General features: G+C 41.2%; 1 protein-coding gene and 1 pseudogene across 3 annotated transcripts in view, besides 1 other annotated feature; both read right to left on the bottom strand.

Annotated features, from left to right (window-relative positions):
- The window catches only part of LGSN (lengsin, lens protein with glutamine synthetase domain), a 297,657-nt gene that overhangs the window by 107,919 nt on the left and 166,036 nt on the right, over positions 1-23,702 (bottom strand). For 2 of the 3 annotated variants that reach the window (XM_017010930.3, XM_011535892.4), the window contains exon 2: positions 20,637-20,732. The gene's annotated coding sequence lies outside the window, so the exon portion shown is untranslated. Of the gene's footprint in view, positions 1-8,667; positions 8,806-20,636; positions 20,733-23,702 lie in introns of all 3 variants that reach the window. The other variant, XM_047418866.1, reaches the window with a different exon arrangement.
- Positions 5,695-5,784: an enhancer, noted in NCBI's record as "active region_24715". NCBI's record gives its function as "activates an Ori minimal core promoter by ATAC-STARR-seq in GM12878 lymphoblastoid cells {active_cell/tissue: GM12878}" and the evidence as "EXISTENCE:reporter gene assay evidence [ECO:0000049][PMID:35858748]".
- On the bottom strand, positions 11,484-12,278 carry LOC100133007 (DENN domain containing 1C pseudogene; annotated as a pseudogene).

Below are 23,702 nucleotides of genomic sequence, written 5' to 3' on the forward strand. Positions count from 1 at the left end.
CAGAATTTGTAGAACTATTTATTGAGCCACCCTTTCAAACTCATTTTATCTCTGGTTATTCATTAATATTGTCTCCCACATACCAGCTTCTCTGCTAACCACTTCTCTAACTTGACATTCTAAAAGGATCCTAGATGTCTGCTTTCAGTTCCCTAGATTTCACCACTCCTTAGTGTATTTACAGTCTCCTCTGCTTCTAAACGTTTAGACCAACCCAAATCACCCATAAACCACAAACCTATGATGATTGTGCACACCAGTTGGCTGCCTTCCTAGAAGTCCTCCCCAGTTTTTTCCATGCTTGAAGGGCCCTGATTTCATTTGATGTCTACCTCTCTTCCTGCCACGAGAACCAAGGAGGGGTTACCCCATTTTCAGTTCCAAGAGTAAATCTTGATAAGCCTATACCAATAATTATGACCCCAGTTGTTTTTCCAAGGATTGGTTTAAGCATGATCACATGACCTAATTCTGCACAATGAGACATGAGGGGAGATGATATGGGAGAAACTTATGGAAAGGTTTTCCACTACCGTTATGAGCAGAATTGTGTTGAATTAATACGTTGAAGCTCTAACTCCCAGTACCTTAGAATATGAATGCCTTTGGAAATAACACCTTGTGTGTGTGTGTGTGTGTGTGTGTGTGTGTGTGTGTGTGTGTGTGTGATGGAGTTTTGCTCTTGTTGCCCAGGCTGGAGTGCAATGGCACAAGCTCGGCTCACTACAACCTCCACCTCCCAGGTTCAAGCAATTCTCCTGCCTCAGCCTCCCAAGTAGCTGGGTTTACAGGTATGCACTACTACACATGGCTAATTTTGTATTTTTAGTAGAGACAGGGTTTCACCATGTTGGTCAAGCTAGCTGGTCTCAAACTCCTGACCTCAGGTGATCCCGCCTCAGCCTCCCAAAGTGCTGGGATTACAGGCATGAGCCACTGAACCCAGCTGAGATAATGTCTATAAAGAGGTTACTAAAATTAAATGAGGTTTTATGGGAAGTCCCTAATCCAATCTGACTGATGTCATTTTGAGAGGAACTATGGACACTTGAAAAGACACCAGGGATAAGCAAACAGAGGAAAGACTATGTGGGGACACAGAGAATGTGGCCAGCTGTAAGCCAAGGAGGATGACCTCAGAAAAAACAAACCTGTGAATCTTGGTGTTGAACTTCGAGCCTGCAGACTATGAGAAAATAAATTTCTGTTCTTTAGGAAGCTCAGCCTGTGGTATTTGGTTATGGCAGCCCTAGAAATCTAATATAGTCATTTAAAAATGACATGTAAATGAATTTTAAAATAATGACACAAGGAAGGAAGCACCCTTTCTGTTACTGGACATTTTGATATCTGATTATGAAGATGGGAATTGCTTTAGCCATCTTACACCTGTACAGAGAATCCATCTGAGAACTGGTTTCCATGTTGAGTATGGCAGATCTACCAAAATATACATAAAACAAAAACTTATTTCTTAATGATGCTGCTGAGCCACTGAATTAACTAAACTTAGATCACTCTGTCTTCAAATGTCCTCTTATATGAAAATAAGTTTCCCTGATTTCTTTAAGCTGTGGTTTTCTATAAATTATAGCCAAAATCATCCTATTGATACAATCAATTGGATAAAGTTTAGCTATTGACAAGCTAAGGCTGTTTCAGCAGTTGCTCTAGACTTTACTCCTTTATTACTCATCAGTTCTTAGTCTTCTTCCATTTCCAACTCTATACTCTTGGCTCTTAAGTTTTGCCTCCAACCCGTCACAGAGTTTTTAACTTATGTCTAACTTATCCATAGTTTTCTAAGCATTAGACTCTCAATTGTCCCCTATAAACTTGCTTAGTTTCTCTTAGGTGGGAATTACAATCTTGGATCTATCCACTTAAATGAAGTCCAAAGTCAGTTCCAAAATGTAGGCAAATTCAGAAAGATAAGCTAATAACCTATCTTTTAGTTGACATGGTCAACCCAATACATATATCTGTGTTATGCTCTGTTTATAAGTAATGGCAAATTCCTGAAGGACCGATACCCAATATCACATAGGCAAAAAGTCTGAGACCTCAGACCCAATTTCCTGACACCAACTACTTTACTAATTCCATTATTCATTATTCTACCCAATTAATAAATTTGATGTTAATATATTGGGACCAGATAGTATTCACTTAACAGTTTTAAAAAATTATAAGGTGAAAATGTAGAAATACATACAATTTCTCATTAACTTTATAAATTGCCAGAGATTTAAGGATTTATAAAATATTAAAAGGATTTTGTAATTGTAGAGTCTTACCTCCCTACTTGGAAGTTTGATAGAGACTTTATAAGCAAGAGAGGGACCCCTTTGTGAATATAGATAGGATGAATACATAGAGCTTAATCTATAATCCAAAATTCAGTGGGATAAGACATGCCACCAGGTAAACATTTTACTTTCTGTAGCTCAGCTACAAATACATTGACCTTGATCCAGCCATTGAGAATATCATTGACTTTCAGAGTTTTGGGGCTTTTTAATTTTTATTTTACTATTATTATTATTATTATTGCTTACTTGTTTGTTTGTTTCTGGCTAATTCTCCTTATCTGATTCTCTGATCCTATTTTGGTAACCTGTCTTTCATATTTCCAATCTCATTTCCTGATTTTTGCATCACTTTTCGTCAGGTATTGATTTCTGTATTCCTAGTCATAACCAGTTAACCTAAATGTCATTCTTGAAAATGCTTTGTATCTAATAATTCATTTTAATGGTCTTGGAACTATACAATACCTTGACTATACACTCAACATTGAAGTTCAACAAAAGAACCCATGTTCCTTTCCCTGACTCAATAAATATTTAGAGAGGGTAATCTACTGGGAAAAGAGTAATATGGTTTCTGTAAGGGGATATTATAGTCGTCTAGTAGCATTCTTTGAAGAGGTAAATTAATAAATAAGGGGCGGGCATGGTGACTCATGCCTGTAATCTCAATACTTTGGGAGGCCAAGGCTGGTATGGATCACCTGAGGACAGGAGCTCAAGACCAGCCTGACCAATATGGTGAAACCTCGTCTCTATTAAAAATACAAAAATCAGCCAGACATGGTGGCGTGCACCTGTAATCCCAGCAACTCAGGAGGCTGAGGCAGGAGAATTGCTTGAGCCCAGGAGGTGGAGGTTGCAGTGAGCTGAGATCACACCACCGTGCTCCAGCCTGGGCAACAGAGCAAGACTCCGTCTCAAAAAAAAATAAAAGAAAAATAGATAAATAAGGAAAACGAGCAAAGGTAAAGTGCAAAGACTTTAAATTCAGACCTTCGAACCAAAGATTATCTTAAAGGTGAATCACTCACTATTGGATTATACAATTAGCAGCCCTCTGTATCCATGTGTTCCTCTTCCATGAATTCAACCAACCATAGATCAAAAATATTCAGGAAAAGAAAAATGCATCGGTACTGAATACATAACGATGCATTTTTTCTTGTAATATTCCTAAAACGACAGAGTATAACAACTATTTACATAATTTACATATTATATATCTTTGTTGTATTAGGTATTATAATGATTTAAGAGATTATATAAAGTATATAGAAGCATATGCATAGGTTACATGCAAATACTTTATCAGATACTTGAGCCACTGCAGATTTTGATGTGCTCCAGAGGTCCTGGAACTAACCCCCCACAGATACTGAGGGACAACTGTATTCACAGAAAATATTTTATCATGGATTAAAAATATATATTAGTACAAAAAGTTAGAGCCTGAATTTTAGAGGAATCCATGCAATGGGAGAGATGTCACAGAGATCAGTACTGAGATTAACTTTGATCAATAATTTTTTTTTTTTTGAGCCAGGGTCCCACTGCAGTGGCATGATCATAGCTCATGATCATTGCAGCCTCAGTCTCCCAGGCTCAAGCCATCCTCCGACCTCAGCGTCCTGAGTAGCTAGATCTACAGGCATACCACCACATCTCGCCTGGCTATTTATTTATTGATTGATTTATTGATTTTGAGTCAGAGTCTTGCTCTGTCACCCAGGCTGGAGTGCAGTGGCACAATCTTGGCTCACTGCAACCTCCGCCTCCCAGGCTCAAGTGATTCTCCTTCCTCAGCCTCCCGAATAGCTGGGATAACAGGTGCCCACCATCATGCCCAGCTAATTTTTTTGTTTTTTTTTTTTTTTAGTAGAGATGCGGTTTCACCATGTTAGGCAGGCTGGTCTCGAACTCCTGACCTCAGGTGACCTACCTGCTTTGGCCTCCCAATGTGCTAGGATTCATGCCTGTAGCCACCATGCCCAGCAATAATTTTTGAAACAGAAGATGACTATGGAGTATCATTTCGTAATTTAAAAATGACTTACCAGTGGTGAATTATGAAGATAAGGAAAAAGTTTAGGAAATTTCACAAGGTAGGCAGTTGGACAGAAATTTAAGATACCAGCTTCTTGATGAGAAAAGTGAGGTCCTATTATGGGCTAAATTGTGTTTCCTGAAGATTCACATGCTGAAGTTCTAATCCTCAGTACTTCAGAGTGTGACCATATTTAGAGATAGCATCTTTAAGGAGGTAACTAAGTTAAAATGAGGCCAGTTAGGGTGAGCCCTAATCTGATATGACTGATGTCCCTGTAAGAAGAGGAAATCTGAACACAGGTGCACAGAGGGAAAATGATGTGAAGCCAGGGAGAAGACGGCCATTGACAAGCCAAGGAGAGAGGCCTCAGAAGAAACCAACCCTGCCAACACCTTCATCTTGGACTTCTAGGCTCCAGAACTGTGAAGAAATAAATTTCTATTGTTTGAGCCACCCAGTCTGTGGTATTTTGTTACAGCAGCCCTGGAAAAATAATAGAGGTCCTAAAGCTAGAAATAACGTAAATAATGGCCAAGGGATAACTGGCTTCGAGGGCCATTTGGAAAAACAAGACAGAGAACTTGTTGTCAGTCTAATGTGGTTCTAATAGACAAAAAGGCCATCAGAGTATTGATAAGCAGGCAGTGAGTTGAAAGCAGAATAGAAGACATTCTTATACTTGGCACAAACCATGTACAGTCACTCAAAAATCATCTTAGGATGCATATATTTAAGCAGAATGCACAGAAAGTAGTAACTCCTAGTCTACAAGGATGAAATACAAATAGGATGAGGAAGACAAAAAGGGAAGGGAAAAGAAGAAAAGAGCTAACCCTTATAAGTATTCATTCATTTAATCCTTATGGCCACCCCTACGTGTAAGTAAACTGAACATTATTGTCTCCACTTTGGAAAGGAGGAAACTGAATCACAGAAAGAGTAAGTAAATTGCTCAGAGTCACACAGAAAGTGAAAAAGCTATGATAAATAATAGATCTATTAATATAAGAACAAATCAAAAAATGTGAAACCTATTTTCTACTCTCATATTTTCTTACTAACAATAGAAAAGAAGCTTACCTTACATTTTCAGATAGAGAGGAAAGGATATTGAGCCTGATTCATTTTGTATCTTCTTGTGTTTCTATGTGTTCATTCTTAAACAAGTAATAGAAACTACACTCAGTCTAGAACATGTCAGTCTTATTTTGGCAAAACAATCCCACCGTCTTCTTCTGCATCTACCCTTGACCCCATTGCAAAATCTAGCACAATCTGATAACAGAAGAAGAGAACAAAAGAGAAAAATTTGAAGGAACTGTGTTTAACCTTAAGGAAAGCATGGCTTCTGTTTTGAACAATGGTCCTGTGTAGTTTCACTTAAATCTTATCTGTATACAAAACTCTTGGTTGCCACTCTGTGCTGTGAAACTGCTACATGGTTGCATTTCAATATTAAGTATGTAAGCCAGTGAGTAAACCAAACCATGATAGTTCATGAATCTACTAATGGAGACGATCATATCAGTACTATTATTCCAATACAGAAATTCAAAGGTAGTGCATACAGAAATAGAGATCATAAAATGCAGTCATTTTAAATTATTTTTTACACTAAAAATAATTTAGTCATTGTGCTCCAGACATTAAGTGCATTAATGTACATGCTTCAAAGTTTATCTCCTTTTTCTCTTCCTCCCCCATCCCCCACAAAAAAAAATGGTGAGAGAAAATTTTCTAGGTCTAATCTAAGCCTAAAGAAAACACACCTTTTGTGAATGCTAAGTAGGGAGATGTAGAAAATGAAGAGAAAAGACTCTAATGGTCTCAGAAACTGTATAAAGAATAATTCTACAGCTGAAGTATTTGGACACTTTCTTTCTTTCTTTCTTTTTTTTTTTTTTTTTTTTTTTTTTTTTGAGGCAGAGTCTCGCTCTGTCACCCAGGCTGGAGTGCAGTGGCGCAATCTTGTCTCACTGCAACCTCCTTCTTCCAGGGTCAAGCGATTCTTGTGCCTCAGCCTCCCAAGTAGCTGGGATTAAAGACATGCACCACCACTACTGGCTAATTTTTGTATCGTTAGTAGAGATGGGTTTTCACCATGTTGGCCAGGCTGGTCTCAAACTCCTAACCTCAGGTGATCCACCTGCCTTGGCCTCCCAAAGTGCTGGGATTACAGGTTTGAGCCATTGTGCCAGCCGGATTCCACAAATTTTGATCAACTATTATTTTCTTAGAATGCATGACCTATTGCCAAATTCACCACTTCATTGTCAGATTTTTTTTTATCAACAGGGAGGAGATTGTTACACAGGAATTGAATTTGTTTTATTGAAAATTGGAATCGGCCAGGCGCGGTGGCTCACGCCTGTAATCCCAGCACTTTGGGAGGCCGAGGCGGGCGGATCACGAGGTCAGGAGATCGAGACCATCCTGGCTAACACGGTGAAACCCCGTCTCTACTAAAAATACAAAAAAAAAGTAGCCGGGCGAGGTGGCGGGTGCCTGTAGTCCCAGCTACTCGGGAGGCTGAGGCAGGAGAATGGCGTGAACCCCGGGGGACGGAGCCTGCAGTGAGCCGAGATCACGCCACTGCACTCCAGCCTGGGCGACAGAGCAAGACTCCATCTCAAAAAAAAAAAAAAAAAAGAAAAGAAAATTGGAATTGAATTAGTTCAGATAATATCCTTAACTTTCTTATCTCTCTCCATTCACTTTCAATTATTTGAATTATAACAAGTTCCATTGGAAAGGATGCATACTTTTACCTTCTCTTTGGATAAAAGGTAATCTGAAATAAATTGATTGCTTCTGTTAAATAGACAAATAGAATTACTAAGTATTATCAGATCTCAAATAGCTCTAATAGAATATGTACACAGGTAAGACTCATTTAGCATTATTTAAAATCTCGTTTTTAAAAAATATGATAATGGAGACAAATTTGCTATTAAATAATTTATTTGCAATGTATAAATGTCCTTAGCAGTCAATCCTATTTGGGTTTGAGAAAAACATGACATTTTCAAGTTATCTTAGTTGGTGTAGGTCTAAAGATATGGAAGGGAAGTAAGAACCAAGAGGTTGTGTCTTAGCAACTACTCAGCCAGCAGCTGGAACTGTAGCTCATTCAGAATACACAATGTAGAGGACTGATAGCAGCTCTTACACTCAACAGCAACATCTGCAAAGATCCATGCATCTGTAAACTTCTGTTGCTTTTTCTGACAAGGATTCCCAACTTGTAAGTGGGTTGATTTCAGTCTCTGCTTGTACCTCTGTATCCTCCAACACTGTTCTCTCCACTTGCCTTCTCTCCACCTCAAGGTCTGTGTTAGCTTTTACTGTCTTGTGATTTCTGAAGCCTCAATGTGTCTCTAGTTCCTGCTCACTTAAGTTTCCCTCCAAATTCCCAAGGGAGATCTGCTTTACGGTTAGTCAACATCCAATATTGACCATTCTTGCTGGGCAGAGTTCAGTTACACTTCATGGGCTGATAGCGAGGCTTTTAGCTATCTCTGTCTCAAAGGTTAATCCTTGAACTAAGTCATTGCTGGTCCAGAAAAGCAGAAGTCACATGATGTAAAGCATAAGGGCCCTAGGAGCAGAGAAACACTCAGCTGTCTTTCATAGAAGAGGTCTTTGGACATGGAAGGACAATGAGCATGGGTTGACGCACAGAGCAACTTGGTCTCCTCTCCAGTATAAGTCTTCTTTTAAGGAATCAATGATATGAAAGTTTATTTTTAAAAATTACAAAACAACAACACTGGTTTCATCCTCCACCCCAAAATTCCAAGTAATTATAGTCATGTACTGTATAAAAACATTCTGGTCAACAATGGACCACATATAAAACAGTGGTCCCATAAGATTATAAAAGAGGAGGGGCATGGACCAGAAATCTGAGAGAGGTCAAAGACGCCCAGGCCAGGTGCCTCTCAGGTACTCATGTACTGATATGAAGTAGGAGGGGCGCAGTGCTAGAAGCCCCTTCCTCAGTGCTGCCAACCAGACACCCAGCCCATGGCAAACCCTGGCCTAGGGCTGCTCCTGGCCCTGGGCCTGCCTCTGCTGCAGGCCTGCTTAGGCCCAGCCTTGAGACAAACCTCCACAGCAGGGGCCCCTTCTGTAAATGAGAGCAGCACTATCATGCCCACCAGCTCCAGCTCCAAAGGGACCCTGTCTCAGGGGGCATCACTGCTATCATGTGGACTAATCCATCCTGGCCACCCTACTCCTGGCTGTGGGACTGGAACTACTGGTGCAGAAGCTTCAGGAGAAGCATAGATGGAGGCGGAAACCTACCTACCCAGCAGCCAGGAACAGGTGGGTGCCCATGCGCCACAGACCCTCAACTTCAAATTGCCTCCGGAGGAGTAGCAGCTCATCTGAACGCTGGTGTTAGAGGCCTTTGAACCAGAGTGACTCCATCTTGAATAGGGGCTGGGTAAAATTGATAAAGGAATTAAGAAGAAATTACTTAGGCAGATAATGAGGATATGGAAGTCCTCGGTAAGGTTTTCCTTTTAATGAAAAGCAACCCCAAATTATTTTTCTTTCTAATGAAGAGCAGTCTGTAAAACCGAGCTGCAGACATTGATTGGCAGTTGTGCCAATCATGTTCAAGATGGTGGCTCCATCTTCTTCTTCTTTTTTTTTTTTTTTTTTTTTTTGATATGGAGTCTTGCTCTGTCGCCCAGGCTGGAGTGCAGTGGCGCAATCTCTGCTCACTGCAAGCTCCGCCTCCCGGGTTCACGCCATTCTCCTACCTCAGCCTCCCGAGTAGCTGGGACTACAGGCGCCCACCACCACGCCCGGCTAATTTTTTTGTATTTTTAGTAGAGACGGGGTTTCACCGCATTAGCCAGGATGGTCTCGATCTCCTGACCTCGTGATACACCCACCTCGGCCTCCCAAAGTGCTAGGATTACAGGCTGAGCCACCGCGCCCAGCCAAGATGGAGTCTCACTCTGTCGCCCAGGCTGGAGTGCAATAGCTGGATCTTGGCACACTGCAACCTCTATCTCCTGGGTTCAAGCTATTCTCCTGCCTCAGCCTCTCCTCCCCAACCTGTAGGTGAGATTACAGGTGTGTGCCACAAAGCCCGGCTAATTTTTTTGTATTTTTAGTAGAGACAGGGTTTCACCATGTTGGTCAGGCTGGTCTCGAACTCCTGACCTCAAGTGATCTACCCACCTCAGCCTCCCAAAGTGCTAGGATTACAGGCGTGAGCCACCGCGCCTGGCCCATCTTCCCTTCTTCTGTACAGTAAGGAGCAGACAAGATGGCGCTGGTTAACTGGAAAGCCCATTTGCACAATAAGATTAGGGTGGGGCAACCAGTCTTACCACAAGCACTATGAAAACATCATACCTGATCGAACCAATTTGTGAGCCCTATGTAAATCAAACACTGCCTCCTCAAACCTGACTATAAAATCTGGCCCATCCACTGCTGGCAGGTCTTTCTTCTCAGAAGTCCCCTCTCTCTCAAGAGGCAGAGCTGTTTTACTTTCTTTTCTTCTGCCTATTAAACCTTCGCTCTTAAACTCCTCATGTGTGTCTGTGTCCTAAATTTTCCTGGCGCCAGACAACAAATCCCAGGTATATACCCCAGACAATGTAGCCACTTCAAAATGAAGCTGAGATCTACTGGGCTGCATTCCCACGAGGTTAGGTATTCTAAGTGACAGGATGAGATAGGAGGTCTGCAAAAGATACAGGTCACAAAGGCTTTGCTAATAAAACAGGTTGCAACTGGGCGCGGTGGCTCACACCTGTAATCCCAGCACTTTGGGAGGCCGAGGTGGGCGGATCACCTGAGGTCAGGAGTTTGAGACCAGCCTGGCCAACATGGCGAAACCTGTCTCCACTAAAAATACAAAAATTAGCTGGGCGTGGTGGGCGACTGTAATCCCAGCTACTCAGGAGGCTGAGGCAAGAGAATCACTTGAAACCAGGAGGCAGAGGTTGCAGTGAGCCGAGATCACGCCACTGCACTCCAGCCTGGGCAACAGAGCGAGACTCTGTCTCAATAATAACAATAATAATTAATAAGAAAACAGGTTGCAGTAAAGAAGCTGGTCAAAACCCACTAAACCAAGATGGAGATGAAAGTGACCTCTGGAGGTCCTCACTGCTCATGATATGCTAGTTATGATGCAATTATAATGCATTGGCATGCTAAAAGACACTCCCACTAGCATCATGATGGTTTACAAATGTCAGGAAGTTACTCTGTATGGTTTAAAAGGGGGAGGAACCCTCAGTTCCAGGGGTATTGCCCATCCCTTTCCTGGAAAACTCATGAATAATCCACCCCTTGTTTAGCAAATAATCAAGAAATAACCGTAAAAATAACCACCAGCCCTAGGGGCTGCTCTGCCTTTGGCGTAACCATTCTTTATTCCTTTACTTTCTTAATAAACTCGCTTTCACTTTACTCAATGGATTTACCTCGAATTCTTTTTTGCACGAGATCCAAGAACCCTCTCTTGGGGTCTGGATCAGGACCCCTTTCCGGTAACACTGGGGCCCAATGCAGCCACTGCCCCTGCCCAGGACTGCCGGGTGCTGGCTTGCTGTATACAGCAGCTGCCACGGCCTCTGACAGCTCAGGAAGACTTGCAGGAGGGCCTGGGGGGCGTCCGCCTGTCAGGCGGTCGTCTGTGCCTACAGCTGAGGGTTTCAGGGCTGGGGATCCACCTCCTCGCTTGTGGAACCTTCTTCCCTCTGTGTGCACTGCAGGCCTGACAACTCCCTCTCCTTTCTTTCAGTTCTCCATGCACTTGAGGCCTGGGTCCCTCAGGACTCCAAGAAGAAAGTGTGGGGCTGCCTGCCCATCTAGTTCCCCTCTCCTCAATTTGTCCCACTTCATGGCTGTGTGACCTTGGGGAAAGGTAGAGCCCTCTCTGGGCAGTCAGATCCACCCAGTTCTTAAGAATAGCATGGAAGAAGCTGTTTCAAAGACTGCTCCTGAGGACAAGGGAGGGCAGGGCTGTTAACTTTTTATATACTTATATAAAATTAATAGTGAAGTATAATAAAGTTTGCTTGTTTTGAGCTGTTGGAGGCATTAGCCAAGACGGAAGACACAAATGCAGAGGAACTGCAAGGTTGTAAGGATCCTAGGGTATTGGGGGGCTTCCTGGAACTCCCTTCTAGAATCCAGTTAAAGAGGCTGCCCTTGGAGGGTGAGAGGTGGGTAGGTTGTGTTCCCCTCCAGAGAGAGGGCCTTAGAGAAATTCACCAGGAAAAACCAGCTTCTGGCTCTTGTGGCTTTATTGAAGGACAGGAGTCTCCTCCCGACCCTTGATCCTTAACCGTCAAAGCACTTAAGATCAGCCACTCTGGGCTGGCTCCTGGCCTGGGGCTCCTGCTGGTTGCTGGTGGGTGATGGAATTCAGGCCTCCCAATTCTTCCAGTGACTGGAGGTGAGTGTGCTCTGCTAGCAGGACTTTGCGAGGCTGGGCTCTGGGATTCTCTGGAGAACTAGGGTCTGGGGAAGGATCAAGAGGCTGGACTATCTGGACAATATCAAAGTTGGACTTTGTGGGGGCTGGAATTTGGGGGCTTTCTGGAGGGCTGGGCTGGGTGGGCACTGTGGAGAGCCTGGAACTGGGGCTTTCCTGGGCTCTAGAATGTTTGGCTGCCTTGTAGGGAGGGGAAAGATAAAGGATTAGGGACTCTGTGAGAGGAGAGTGTTCGGGGTCCCCTCCGCTACTTGGGTCTGCAGGAGCTGTTGAGGACTGAAATGGAGAGATGACTTCTTGGTTAGCCTCTAGGACAGCTAGGACTTGAGATTCCTTGAGAAGCTTGTAGCATCCACAGATGAGGCATTTTGCAGAGACGGCAGGTCTGCAGGCAGGGACAGGGGCTGAAGCTCTGGCAGTTTCTCATTGTCTGGTTGCTATCTTGCTCTTCCTGGTATGTTGGGCTGGGTAGGGTGGAGAGACGGGCAAGTTGCTGGCCTTTAGATGGCAAAGGGGTTGGCAAGTTGGATGGACCATTAGGGTAAAACTTGGGGAAGAGGCAGGGTTTCCACCAGGATGAATCAGCTGTCTAGGTCCCCTCTGTGACAGCAGTTTAAATTCTGGCCTGGTCTCAGGCTGCCTGCACTCTTGGCTCCAACACTCAGACTGTCCAGAATCTCACTCAACAAATCCAGTTATTCTCTAGACCTCAAGATGCTGCTGCCTATAGCTTCTTTTGCCATAGGCTCCCCTCATCCTTAGGGCTCAGAGGAGGTGTTCTAGATGAGGATGGGCAGCCTCAGGTATTTGCCTGAGAGCCCCAGCCCTAGTCAGGCTGCTCTGGAGTTTGGGTACCCTTCTCCGCATCAGTTGTGGCCTCCTGCTTTCAATATTGGTGCTCCCCTTTAGCTTTACCCCTCCCTTGGGGGCTTAGAAGTTTTCTCTTCCAGCTGGAGTCTCTTGCTGGGGTGGAGGGGCTGGTTCTGCAAAGGGTGGGAAAGACAGGACCTTGGGAGCTTCAGAATCAGGGGGCTGAGGCTTGTTGGAAGAGGGTGAGTGTGAAGTGGGTGCCAAATATTAGGGTAAGTGAGGAGAGAGGCAAGATGTCTGGATGGGGACTGGGGTGGGTGGAGGATTCAGTGATAATACCAAGCATGTGTATGGGGGAAGGGGTGTTCTCACCTGTTCAAAGTGCTGAGTGATAGGCAGGTGCTGCTGCAGGTGATCTGAGTGGCTGGTGAGGGCTAGACCCTCAAGGAGCACCTCCTCTGGAGGCCAGAATCCCCATCCAAGGAAGAGAATGCCTGAGCTGGGAGCCCCTCCCACACCCCCCAGATATTAGCCTTTGGCTGGTCTTACCTTATAGATTAGCAGGCTCTGCATCCCCCTCAAGCTACACTTGGCCTATAGAAGCACTACGGGAGAATTACACCTGAGGCTGATTGGACCCTGGGCATTTCAGAGCTCAATCCTCTTATCTCATAAGACAGCTTCATCTTGCTATCTGTCCAGCTCTGTGTCTTAAATATGTTCACAACCCCCCATGCACCATCTAAGAAATCAATACAAACTTTCACTCCTTTGGCTAATACAAAGGGAGTATTCCAGGAGGAAATAATCACCAAATAAAATGAAAAGTGGCAAAACAACGTTGTACAAGTGTTCATGGCTCAAAGCCATAAAGTATAAAATTACGTGAACAATTTTGAGCTGCAAAAGTTGGCTCCAGGAAACTTGTCGGCTTGGGAGAAAAAAAAAAAAAAACACATAAGGGCAAAAGCTGGGATTATATGGTCCAAGGACAAAGGATGCTTGCCAGTGAATCTTGGTTGTCAATTTTAAAGAAGCGGGCTATGATTTTGACAAAAAGGAGCATGATGAATGGAAAATAAAAGTGGGAAGACTTGTTAATAGAAAAAAAAAAGATTATGGGCCAGGTGTGGTGGCTCACACCTGTAATCCCAGCACTTTGGGAGGCCAAGGAGGCTGGATCACTTGAGGTCAGAAGTTTTTGAGACCAACCTGGCCAACATGGTGAAACCCCATCTCTACTAAAAATGCAAAAATCAGCTGGATGTGGTGGCACGCCTGTAATTACACCTGTAATTACACCTATAATCCCAGCTACTCGGGAAGCTGAGGCACAAGAATCACTTTAACCTGGGAGGCAGAGGTTGCAATGAGACAAGATCATGCCACTGCACTCCAGCCTGGGCAACAATGTAAAACTGTGTCTCAAGAAAAAAAGAAAAAAAAGATTATAATGAAGCTGAAAAAATTTTATTGCCTAGTGATATCATAGCTGTCATAATGTTGCAAGGCAACACATTACTCGCATGTTTGTAGGGATACTGGTGTGAACAAACCTACTGCACTGCCAGTCATATAAAAGTATAGTATGTACAATTATGTACAGTAAATAAAACTTGATGATAATAAATGTTATTTATTTATATATTTACTATACTATATTTTTAATTATTTTAGAGTATACTCCTATTTACTAAAAAAAAAAAAAAAAAAAAGTTAACTATAAAACAGATTCAGGCAGGTCCTTCAGGAGGTATTCCAGAAGGCATTGTTATCACAGGAGATGACAGACAGCTCTATGTGTGTTATTGCCCCTGAAGATCTTGAAACGGGAAAAAATGTGGAGGAGGAAGACAATGATATTGATGACTCTGACCCTGTGTAGGCTTAGGGTAATGTGTGTACTTATGTCTTAGTTTTTAACAAAAATGCCTTAAAAGTAAAAAATACATGTAAAAATAGAAAAAATGCTTTTAGAATAAGGATATAAAGAAAGAAAATATTTTTGTTTGGCTGTACAATGTGTTTGTGTTTTAAGCTAAGCATTATTACAAAAGAGTAAAATAATTGAAAAAATTATAAAGTTGATAAAGTAAAAAAATTATAGTAAGCTAAGGTTAATTTATTATTAAAGGAAGAATACTATTTTTTAAATAAATTTAGTATAGCCTAAATGTGCAATGTGTATAAAATCTACAGTAGTGTATAGCAGTATCGTAGACTTTCACATTCACTCACCACTCACTCACTGACTTACTCAGAAAAACTTGCAGTTTTGCAAGCTCCATTCATAGTACCACTTTTTAAAATATATATATTTTTTCTTTTGATATAGGGTTTTGCTCCTGTTACCCAGGCTAAAGTCACTGCAGCCTTGAACCTTCTGGGCTCAAGCGATCCTCAGACTTCAGCCTCCCAAGTAGATGAGATCACAAGTACATGCCATGACACATGGCTAGTTTTCAAAAAATTTTTGTAGAGACAGGGTCTCCCTATCCTGCCTAGGCTGGTCTCAAACTCCTAGGCTCCAGTGGTCCTTCTGCCTCGGACTCCCAAAGTGATGGGATTACAAACATGAGTTATCGCACGTGGCCTCATTTTTTTTTAATCTTTTACGCCATATTTTTACTGTACCTCTTCTATGTTTGGATGCACAGATACTTATCATTGTCTTACCATTGCCTACAGTATTCAGTACAGTAATGTGCTATACAGGTTTGTAGCCTCGGAGCAATAGGCTATACCTTATAGCTTAGGTGTGTAGTAAGCTATAGCATCTAGGTTTGTGTAAATACACTCTATGATTTTCATACAATGAAATCACTTAATGACACATTTCTCAGAATATATCTGCATCATTTAGAAACACACAACAGTACTAATTTTTTTTTTTTTTTTTGAGACGGAGTTTCGCTCCTGTCACCCAGGCTGGAGTGCAGTGGCATGATCTTGGCTCACTGCAACCTCCGCCTCCCGGGTTCAAGCGATTCTCCTGCCTCAGCCTCCTGAGTAGCTGGGATTACAGTTGCCTGCCACCATGCCTGGCTAATTTCTTGTATTTTTAGTAGAGATGGGGTTTCACCATGTTGGGCAGGCTGATCTCGAACTCCTGACCTCAGATGATCCACCCGCCTCGGCCTCCCAAAGTGCTGGGATTATAGGTGTGAGCCACTGCACCCGGCCATCATTTTTTATTTTTTAGTGATGGAATCTCTCCCTGTCACCCAGGCTGGAGTACAGTGGCACAATCATAGCTCACTGCAGCCTTAAATTCCTGAGCTCAAGGAATCCTCTCACCTCAGCCTCCTGAGTAGCTGGGACTACAGGTGTATGCCATCACACCCAGCTATTTTTTTTTATTTATTTTTTGTAGAGATACAGTCTGGCTATGTTGCCCAGACTGATTGGTCTTGAGCTCCTGGCCTCAAGTGATCTTCCCACTTCAGCCTCCCAATATACTAAATTAGTTTTTAGGATTTTCTTGTTCTTAACCTAGACTTAATTCTCTGTTAATATATTTCCACATGATTTTGATATAGACTTCAAATTTATTGCAAAAATAGCCCTCATTTTGTTTATCTTTTAATATTCAGTATCGTGAAGATGGCCTGGCATATAAAGGGTAATAAATAGATGTTAGTTGAATCAAGTCCATGAAACAAGTAAATAATGACAGAAACATTTGTATTGATATCACTAAAGAGAGCCTCAACTTCCAGCTTGGCAAATGAGAAAACTTGCTTGGCAGGGGCAGGAGTCCTGGGCTTCCAGTCTACTGGGCAGATGCACTGTTAACAGAAGGGCAAGAATATTTCCTTATAAGCTGTAAACTTCTTCAGGATTCTAGGAAAGTGGGAAGGACAGAGATAGGAATATAGCAGAGGTCCTACCAAAAGATGGATAAAGTGCACCTCCAGGACATTTAATGAGCAGGCCATCTCGCTAGATAACAGTAGACGTCCTCCTGGCTTAATGTAAGATTAAATACAGTCAAGGGCTCCGCACGAACATATTCATGCTCTATCTTCTAAATGTGGTTTCTGTCAATGTTGCAATGTAAATGCATGCATATCTCTACTAACCTTTAAGGTAATGATACTGTGTTTTGGGGCATTTCATATGAAGAGTCCATCAAACTGGCATCATTGTTCTCCAATCATCCAAAAAATAAATATTATGTACAATAAAACATAAATTTCGGCCGGGCGTGGTGGCTTACGCCTGTAATCCCAGTACTTTGGGAGACTGAAGCGGGTGGATCACCTCAGGTCAGGAGTTTGAGACCAGCCTGGACAACATGGTGAAACCCTGTCTCTGCTAAAAATACAAAAATTAGCTGGGCATGGTGGTGGGCGCCTGTAATCCCAGCTACTCGGGAGGCTGATGCAGGAGAATCACTTGAACCCAGGAGGTGGAGGTTGCAGCGAGCTGAAATGGCACCATTGCACTCCAGCCTGGATGACAAGAGCAAGACTCTGTGTTTAAAAAAAACATTAATTCAACATTAATAAATATTTGATAAGCCCATTATTATAATATAATTTGACTTTTATACCAACCTGTCATAAGCAAATTCAATAAATTTTTCTATACCTATGTCCTTCTTATGCACAGGGATAAACTCAGAGTTCTCCAATTATTAAGACTTAGTTACAAAGCTAGTTTCAGCACAGGATTTCAAACAAGCCTGGGTAACATAGAGAGACCTAATCTCTGCCAAAAATTAAAAAAAAAAAAATTAGCTGGGCATGGTGGCACATGCCTGTGATCCCAGCTACTTGGGAGGCTGAGGTGGGAGGATTACTTGAATCCAGGAAGTTGAGGCTGCAGTAAGCCATGAGCATGCCACTGCACACCAGCCTGGGCAACAGAACAAAAATCTGTCTCAAAAAAAAAAAAAAAGTTACAAAATTAAGGTACAAGTTAATTCAAAAAGTTAATAATTAATAAATACAAAAATAACAAGGTTATAACCATCACAAGATGTCCATTAATCAAACTAAGAGTGACAAGGACAGAAAATTTTGAGGTTATGTAAAAGCAAACTACTTTGGAAGAATGCAACTTACAAAAAGCAAAATTTAAACCGATGTATTCATGAGTTGCCCAGCTGTAAGTGGGAAGGATCAGTAGGAATACATGCCATGATCCATAATATCAGCCATGGGCGTGTAGGTGAAAATTGTACCAAGTCTTTCACCTTTGGCCTAATATCTGGTTTAGCTCTAGAGAAGTCTGTGTTAAAATGTATGCGACTGGAGCATGCAGTTATGATGACAGGGCAAAAGGCTGATTTAAGATTTTCTATTGGTCAGGATTACTTACGTAAACAGATGGCATACCCAAAGGTTTAATCAAAGAAAGTTTAATGAAGGTAGTACTTACCAACATGTGAAAAGGGATTAAGGCAACTGACAACAAAGAGTAAAGCTCCCAGTGACGAGCAACTGTAAGCAGCCATTACTACTGCTAAGCATGAAGACATGAGCAGCAACTAGAACTCTAGCTGCTAGCTGTAAAGGAGCTCTTGTTTTCTTGAAGACGTAGGAGGTGAAAAAATACTATGAGAGTGACAAGGTGAAGGTGGATGTGGAAGTTTGATGACAGTGGATTTTTTTTAGTCAATCTAAAGTGAGAAATTTGGCTCACGAAAGAAATATATATAGTTGTCAGGCAACTGAAAACCATTGAGCCTGTTGAACATAAATTCATAGTAAATCCTGCACTCTTGTGTCTTTTCTCCAGTGGTGTTCAGATAGCCAGAAGCAAGCTTGGAGAAAATATGTGGGTTCATCCCATGTTGCTTTCACCAAGAAGATATGATGGAAAGATAGAAAAATAATGTTTAATATTTTTACAAGAGAGTAATTTAAGAACTTGACCATGACATCCAAGATAGATAAGGAAGAGCCCTAACTGATAGAGAAAAGAGTAAGAATCAAGGGCCTGAAGATTCTTATTTCTTCTAAAAACTTTTACCATAAAAGTACTTAAACACATAAGCTGAAATAATAAGGGACTTTGGTCAGGAAGTGGACTATTTGAATTAGTGACTTTGGAGTAGATCCTGCCTGGTGATTTTCAGGCTCAAAATGTAATTTTGGAACAGATATATAATTGGAGCAGGTAGGTCATTGGAAATGAGAAGTTAATAATTGAGCAATCTGGAAATTAGATGGGTGATGTGATGATAAATCTCATGTGTCAACTTGACTAAGCCATAGTACCCAGATGTTTGGGCAAACACCAACCTTAATGTAGCTATAAAGGTTTTCTTTTTTTTTTTTAAGATGAGATTAACATTTAAATAAGTAGACTTTTGATAAAGCAGATTACCCTCCATAATATGGTTGGGGCTCATCCAGTCAACTGAAGTTCTTAGAAAAAAACTGAGGTCCCCTCAAAAATAAGAAATTTTATTTCCAAACTGCCTTCAGAATCAAGCTGCAACATCAACTATTTCCTGGCTCCCCAGCCTGCCAACCTACCCTGTAGATTTTATACTTGTCAAGCCCCACAATCACATGAGCCAATTCCTTAAAATAAATTTATATAGAGATAGATAGATGATAGAGAGAGAGAGAGAGACAGAGAGAGAGAGAGAGAACAACATTCTATTGGTTCTGCCTCTCTGGAGAACTAATCTAATATAGGTGATAAATATGGATGTTAAAGTCTAGGAATTCTTTGAAAAATGATCCTAGGTTATTATTTTAAGTAAAAGTTTGCATTTATGGGCTGGCAGCCATGAAGTACTTGGGAGGGTTGGGCTAAGGTCAGGAGGATGTAATACTAAGTAAGGTTTGTGGTGCAGACTACTTTTGAGGAGGAAAGGTCAAGATACACACTCCACATCTAAATCTGTGGGATGACATAAAAACAGAATTTAGGGGGAAATTTGTAGTATTAAATGCCTAAATTTAGAAAAAATAAAGGACTCAAAACAATGTCTTTAGCTTGGACCTTGAGAAATAAAAGATCAAATGAAATCCAATGCAAGCAGAAAAAGAAAATAAAGATCAAAACATAAATTAAGTAGAAAACAGAAAACAGTGGGAAAAATCAGTGACACCAAAAAATAGTTTCGGGGGAAGATCAATACAATTGATAAAACTCTAGCCAGAAAAGGAAAAAAAGAGAAGACAAATTAGCAATATCTAGAATGACAGAGGTGAGATCACTACACATTCTACAATAACCTTTACTATTCTACAAATACTAAAAGGTTAATAGGACAATATTACTGGGGTAAACAGACTTTAAAGTATTCCCGTGATTCCCACATCCTGGTGTTCGTGACTTTGTATAATCCTTCATCCTTAGGTGTGAGCATGACCTGTAACTTGCTTCTAAACAATGGAATGTGGTAAAGGCAATGAGATACACGTGTTTACATGTATCAGGTTACATGAGAGACTTGCTAGCCTCTCTCTTTCTCTCTCTCTCTCTCTCTCTCTCTTTCTCTCTCCATTGCTGGCTTTTAAGAAGCAAGCCGCCATGAGTCCTACAACCACAAGGAAATGAATTCTGCCAACAACTCAATAGAGCCTGGAGGAATATATTTCCCTGATGAGAATCCAGTCCTAGATGACACTTTAATTGCAGCCTATGAGACCTTAAGCGAAGGACCTAGCTAAGCCATGCCCAGACTCCTAGAAGATGCTCAGAAACTGAGATAATAAATGTGTTTTAAGCCACTAAGTTTGGGGCAATTTATTACATAACAATAGATAAATTATGTACAACTTAAAATACAATCATGGGCAACTTTGATAAAAATGCGTTAACTTAAATTTCCTCAAAAAATACAAATTACCAAAGCTTACTCAAAAAGAAATAGATAATATTAATAGATGGAATCTACCAAAAAAAATCCAGAACTAATATGTAAGCTTAGCAAGATTTCTATTTACTATAGAAATCTTAGTCTGTTCAGGTTTCTGTAATAAAATACTATCAAGTAGGTGGTTATACACAACAGTTTATTACTCACAGTTCTGGAGGCTGGTATATTCAAGATCAGGACACCAGCAGATTCAGTGTCTGCTGAGGGACCACTTTCTTATAGATGGACATCTTCTCCCTGGAACTTCATAGAGCAAAAGAGTCAAACAAGCTCTCTGGCATCCCTTTTATAAGTACACTAATACCATTCATGAGGGGATCACCAAAGGCCCCATCTTCTAATGTCATAACCTTAGGAGTTAGAATTTCAACTAACTTTTATGGGGGAGACATAAACATCCAGTCCATTGCAATGATTAATATACTAAAAAAAAGTATTTCTTTTTTTTATTTTATTATTATTATACTTTAAGTTTTAGGGTACATGTGCACAATGTGCAGGTTAGTTACATATGTATACATGTGCCATGCTGGTGCACTGCACCCACTAACTCATCACCTATCATTAGGTATATCTCCCGATGCTATCCCTCCCCCCGCCCCCCACCCCACAACAGTCCCCAGAGTGTGATATTCCCCTTCCTGTGTCCATGTGATCTCATTGTTCAATTCCCACCTATGAGTGAGAATATGTGGTGTTTGGTTTTTTGTTCTTGCGATAGTTTACTGAGAATGATGATTTCCAATTTCATCCATGTCCCTACAAAGGACATGAACTCATCATTTTTTGTGGCTGCATAGTATTCCATGGTGTATATGTGCCACATTTTCTTAATCCAGTCTATCATTGTTGGACATTTGGGTTGGTTCCAAGTCTTTGCTATCGTGAATAGTGCCACAATAAACATACGTGTGCATGTGTCTTTATAGCAGCATGATTTATAGTCCTTTGGGTATATACCCAGTAATGGGATGGCTGGGTCAACTGGTATTTCTAGTTCTAGATCCCTGAGGAATTGCCACACTGACTTCCACAATGGTTGAACTAGTTTACAGTCGCACCAACAGTGTAAAAGTGTTCCTATTTCTCCACATCCTCTTCAGCACCTGATGTTTCCTGACATTTTAATGATTGCCATTCTAACTGGTGTGAGATGGTATCTCATTGCAGTTTTGATTTGCATTTCTCTGATGGCCAGTGATGGTGAGCATTTTTTCATGTGTTTTTTGGCTGCATAAATGTCTTCTTTTGAGAAGTGTCTGTTCATGTCCTTCGCCAGCTAACATCATAATGACAGGATCAAATTCACACATAACAATATTAACTTTAAATGTAAATGGACTAAATGCTCCAATTAAAAGACACAGACTGGCAAATTGGATAAAGAGTTAAGACCCATCAGTGTGCTGTATTCAGGAAACCCATCTCAAGTGCAGAGACACACATAGGCTCAAAATAAAAGGAGGGAGGAAGATCTACCAAGCAAATGGAAAACAAAAAAAGGCAGGGGTTGCAATCCTAGTCTCTGATAAAACAGACTTTAAACCAACAAAGATCAAAAGAGACAAAGAAGGCCATTACATAATGGTAAAGGGATCAATTCAACAAGAAGAGCTAACTATCCTAAATATATATGCAGCCAACACAGGAGCACCCAGATTCATAAAGCAAGTCCTGAGTGACCTACAAAGAGACTTAGACTCCCACACAATAATAATGGGAGACTTTAACACCCCACTGTCAACATTAGACAGATCAACAAGGCAGAAAGTTAACAAGGATACCCAGGAATTGAACTCAGCTCTGCACCAAGCAGACCTAACAGACATCTACAGAACTCTCCACCCCAAATCAACAGAATATACATTTTTTTCAGCACCACACCACACCTATTCCAAAAGTGACCACGTAGTTGGAAGTAAAGCACTCCTCAGCAAATGTAAAAGAACAGAAATTATAACAAACTGTCTCTCAGACCACAGTGCAATCAAACTACAACTCAGGATTAAGAAACTCACTCAAAACCGCTCAACTACGTGGAAACTGAACAACCTGCTCCTGAATGACTACTGGGTACATAATGAAATGAAGGCAGAAATAAAGATGTTCTTTGAAACCAAAGAGAACAAAGACACAACATACCAGAATCTCTGGGACACATTCAAAGCAGTGTGTAGAAGGAAATTTATAGCACTAAATGCCCACAAGAGAAAGCAGGAAAGATCCAAAATTGACACCCTAACATCACAATTAAAAGAACTAGAAAAGCAAGAGCAAACACATTCAAAAGCTAGCAGAAGGCAAAAAATAACTAAAATCAGAGCATAACTGAAGGAAATAGAGACACAAAAAACCCTTCAAAAAATTAATGAATCCAGGAGCTGGTTTTTTGAAAGGATCAACAAAATTGATAGACTGCTAGCAAGACTAATAAAGAAGAAAAGAGAGAAGAATCAAATAGACGCAATAAAAAATGATAAAGGGGATTATCACCACCGATCTCACAGAAATACAAACTACCATCAGAGAATACTACAAACACCTCTACGCAAATAAACTAGAATATCTAGAAGAAATGGGTAAATTCCTCGACACCTACACCCTCCCAAGACTAAACCAGGAAGAAGTTGATTCTCTGAATAGACCAATAACAGGCTCTGTAATTGAGGCAATAATCAATAGCTTACCAACCAAAAAGAGTCCAGGACCAGATGGATTCACAGCCAAATTCTACCAGAGGTACAAGGAGGAACTGGTACCATTCCTTCTGAAACTATTCCAATCAATAGAAAAAGAGGGAATCCTCCCTAACTCATTTTATAAGGCCAGCATCATCCTGATACCAAAGCCGGGCAGAGACACAACCAAAAAAGAGAATTTTAGACCAATATCCTTGATGAACATTGATGCAAAAATCCTCAATAAAATACTGGCAAACCAAATCCAGCAGCACATCAAAAAGCTTATCCACCATGATCAAGTGGGCTTCATCCCTGGGATGCAAGGCTGGTTCAATATACGCAAATCAATAAATATAATCCAGCATATAAACAGAACCAATGACAAAAACCACATGATTTTCTCAATAGATGCAGAAAAGACCTTTGACAAAATTCAACAGCGCTTCATGCTAAAAACTCTCAATAAATTCGGTATTGATGGGACGTATCTCAAAATAATAAGAACTATCTATGACAAACCCACAGCCAATAT

The sequence above is a fragment of the Homo sapiens genome, chromosome 6 (genome assembly GCF_000001405.40).
Source record: "Homo sapiens chromosome 6, GRCh38.p14 Primary Assembly".
In the NCBI taxonomy this organism is placed as follows: Eukaryota; Metazoa; Chordata; class Mammalia; order Primates; family Hominidae; genus Homo; species Homo sapiens.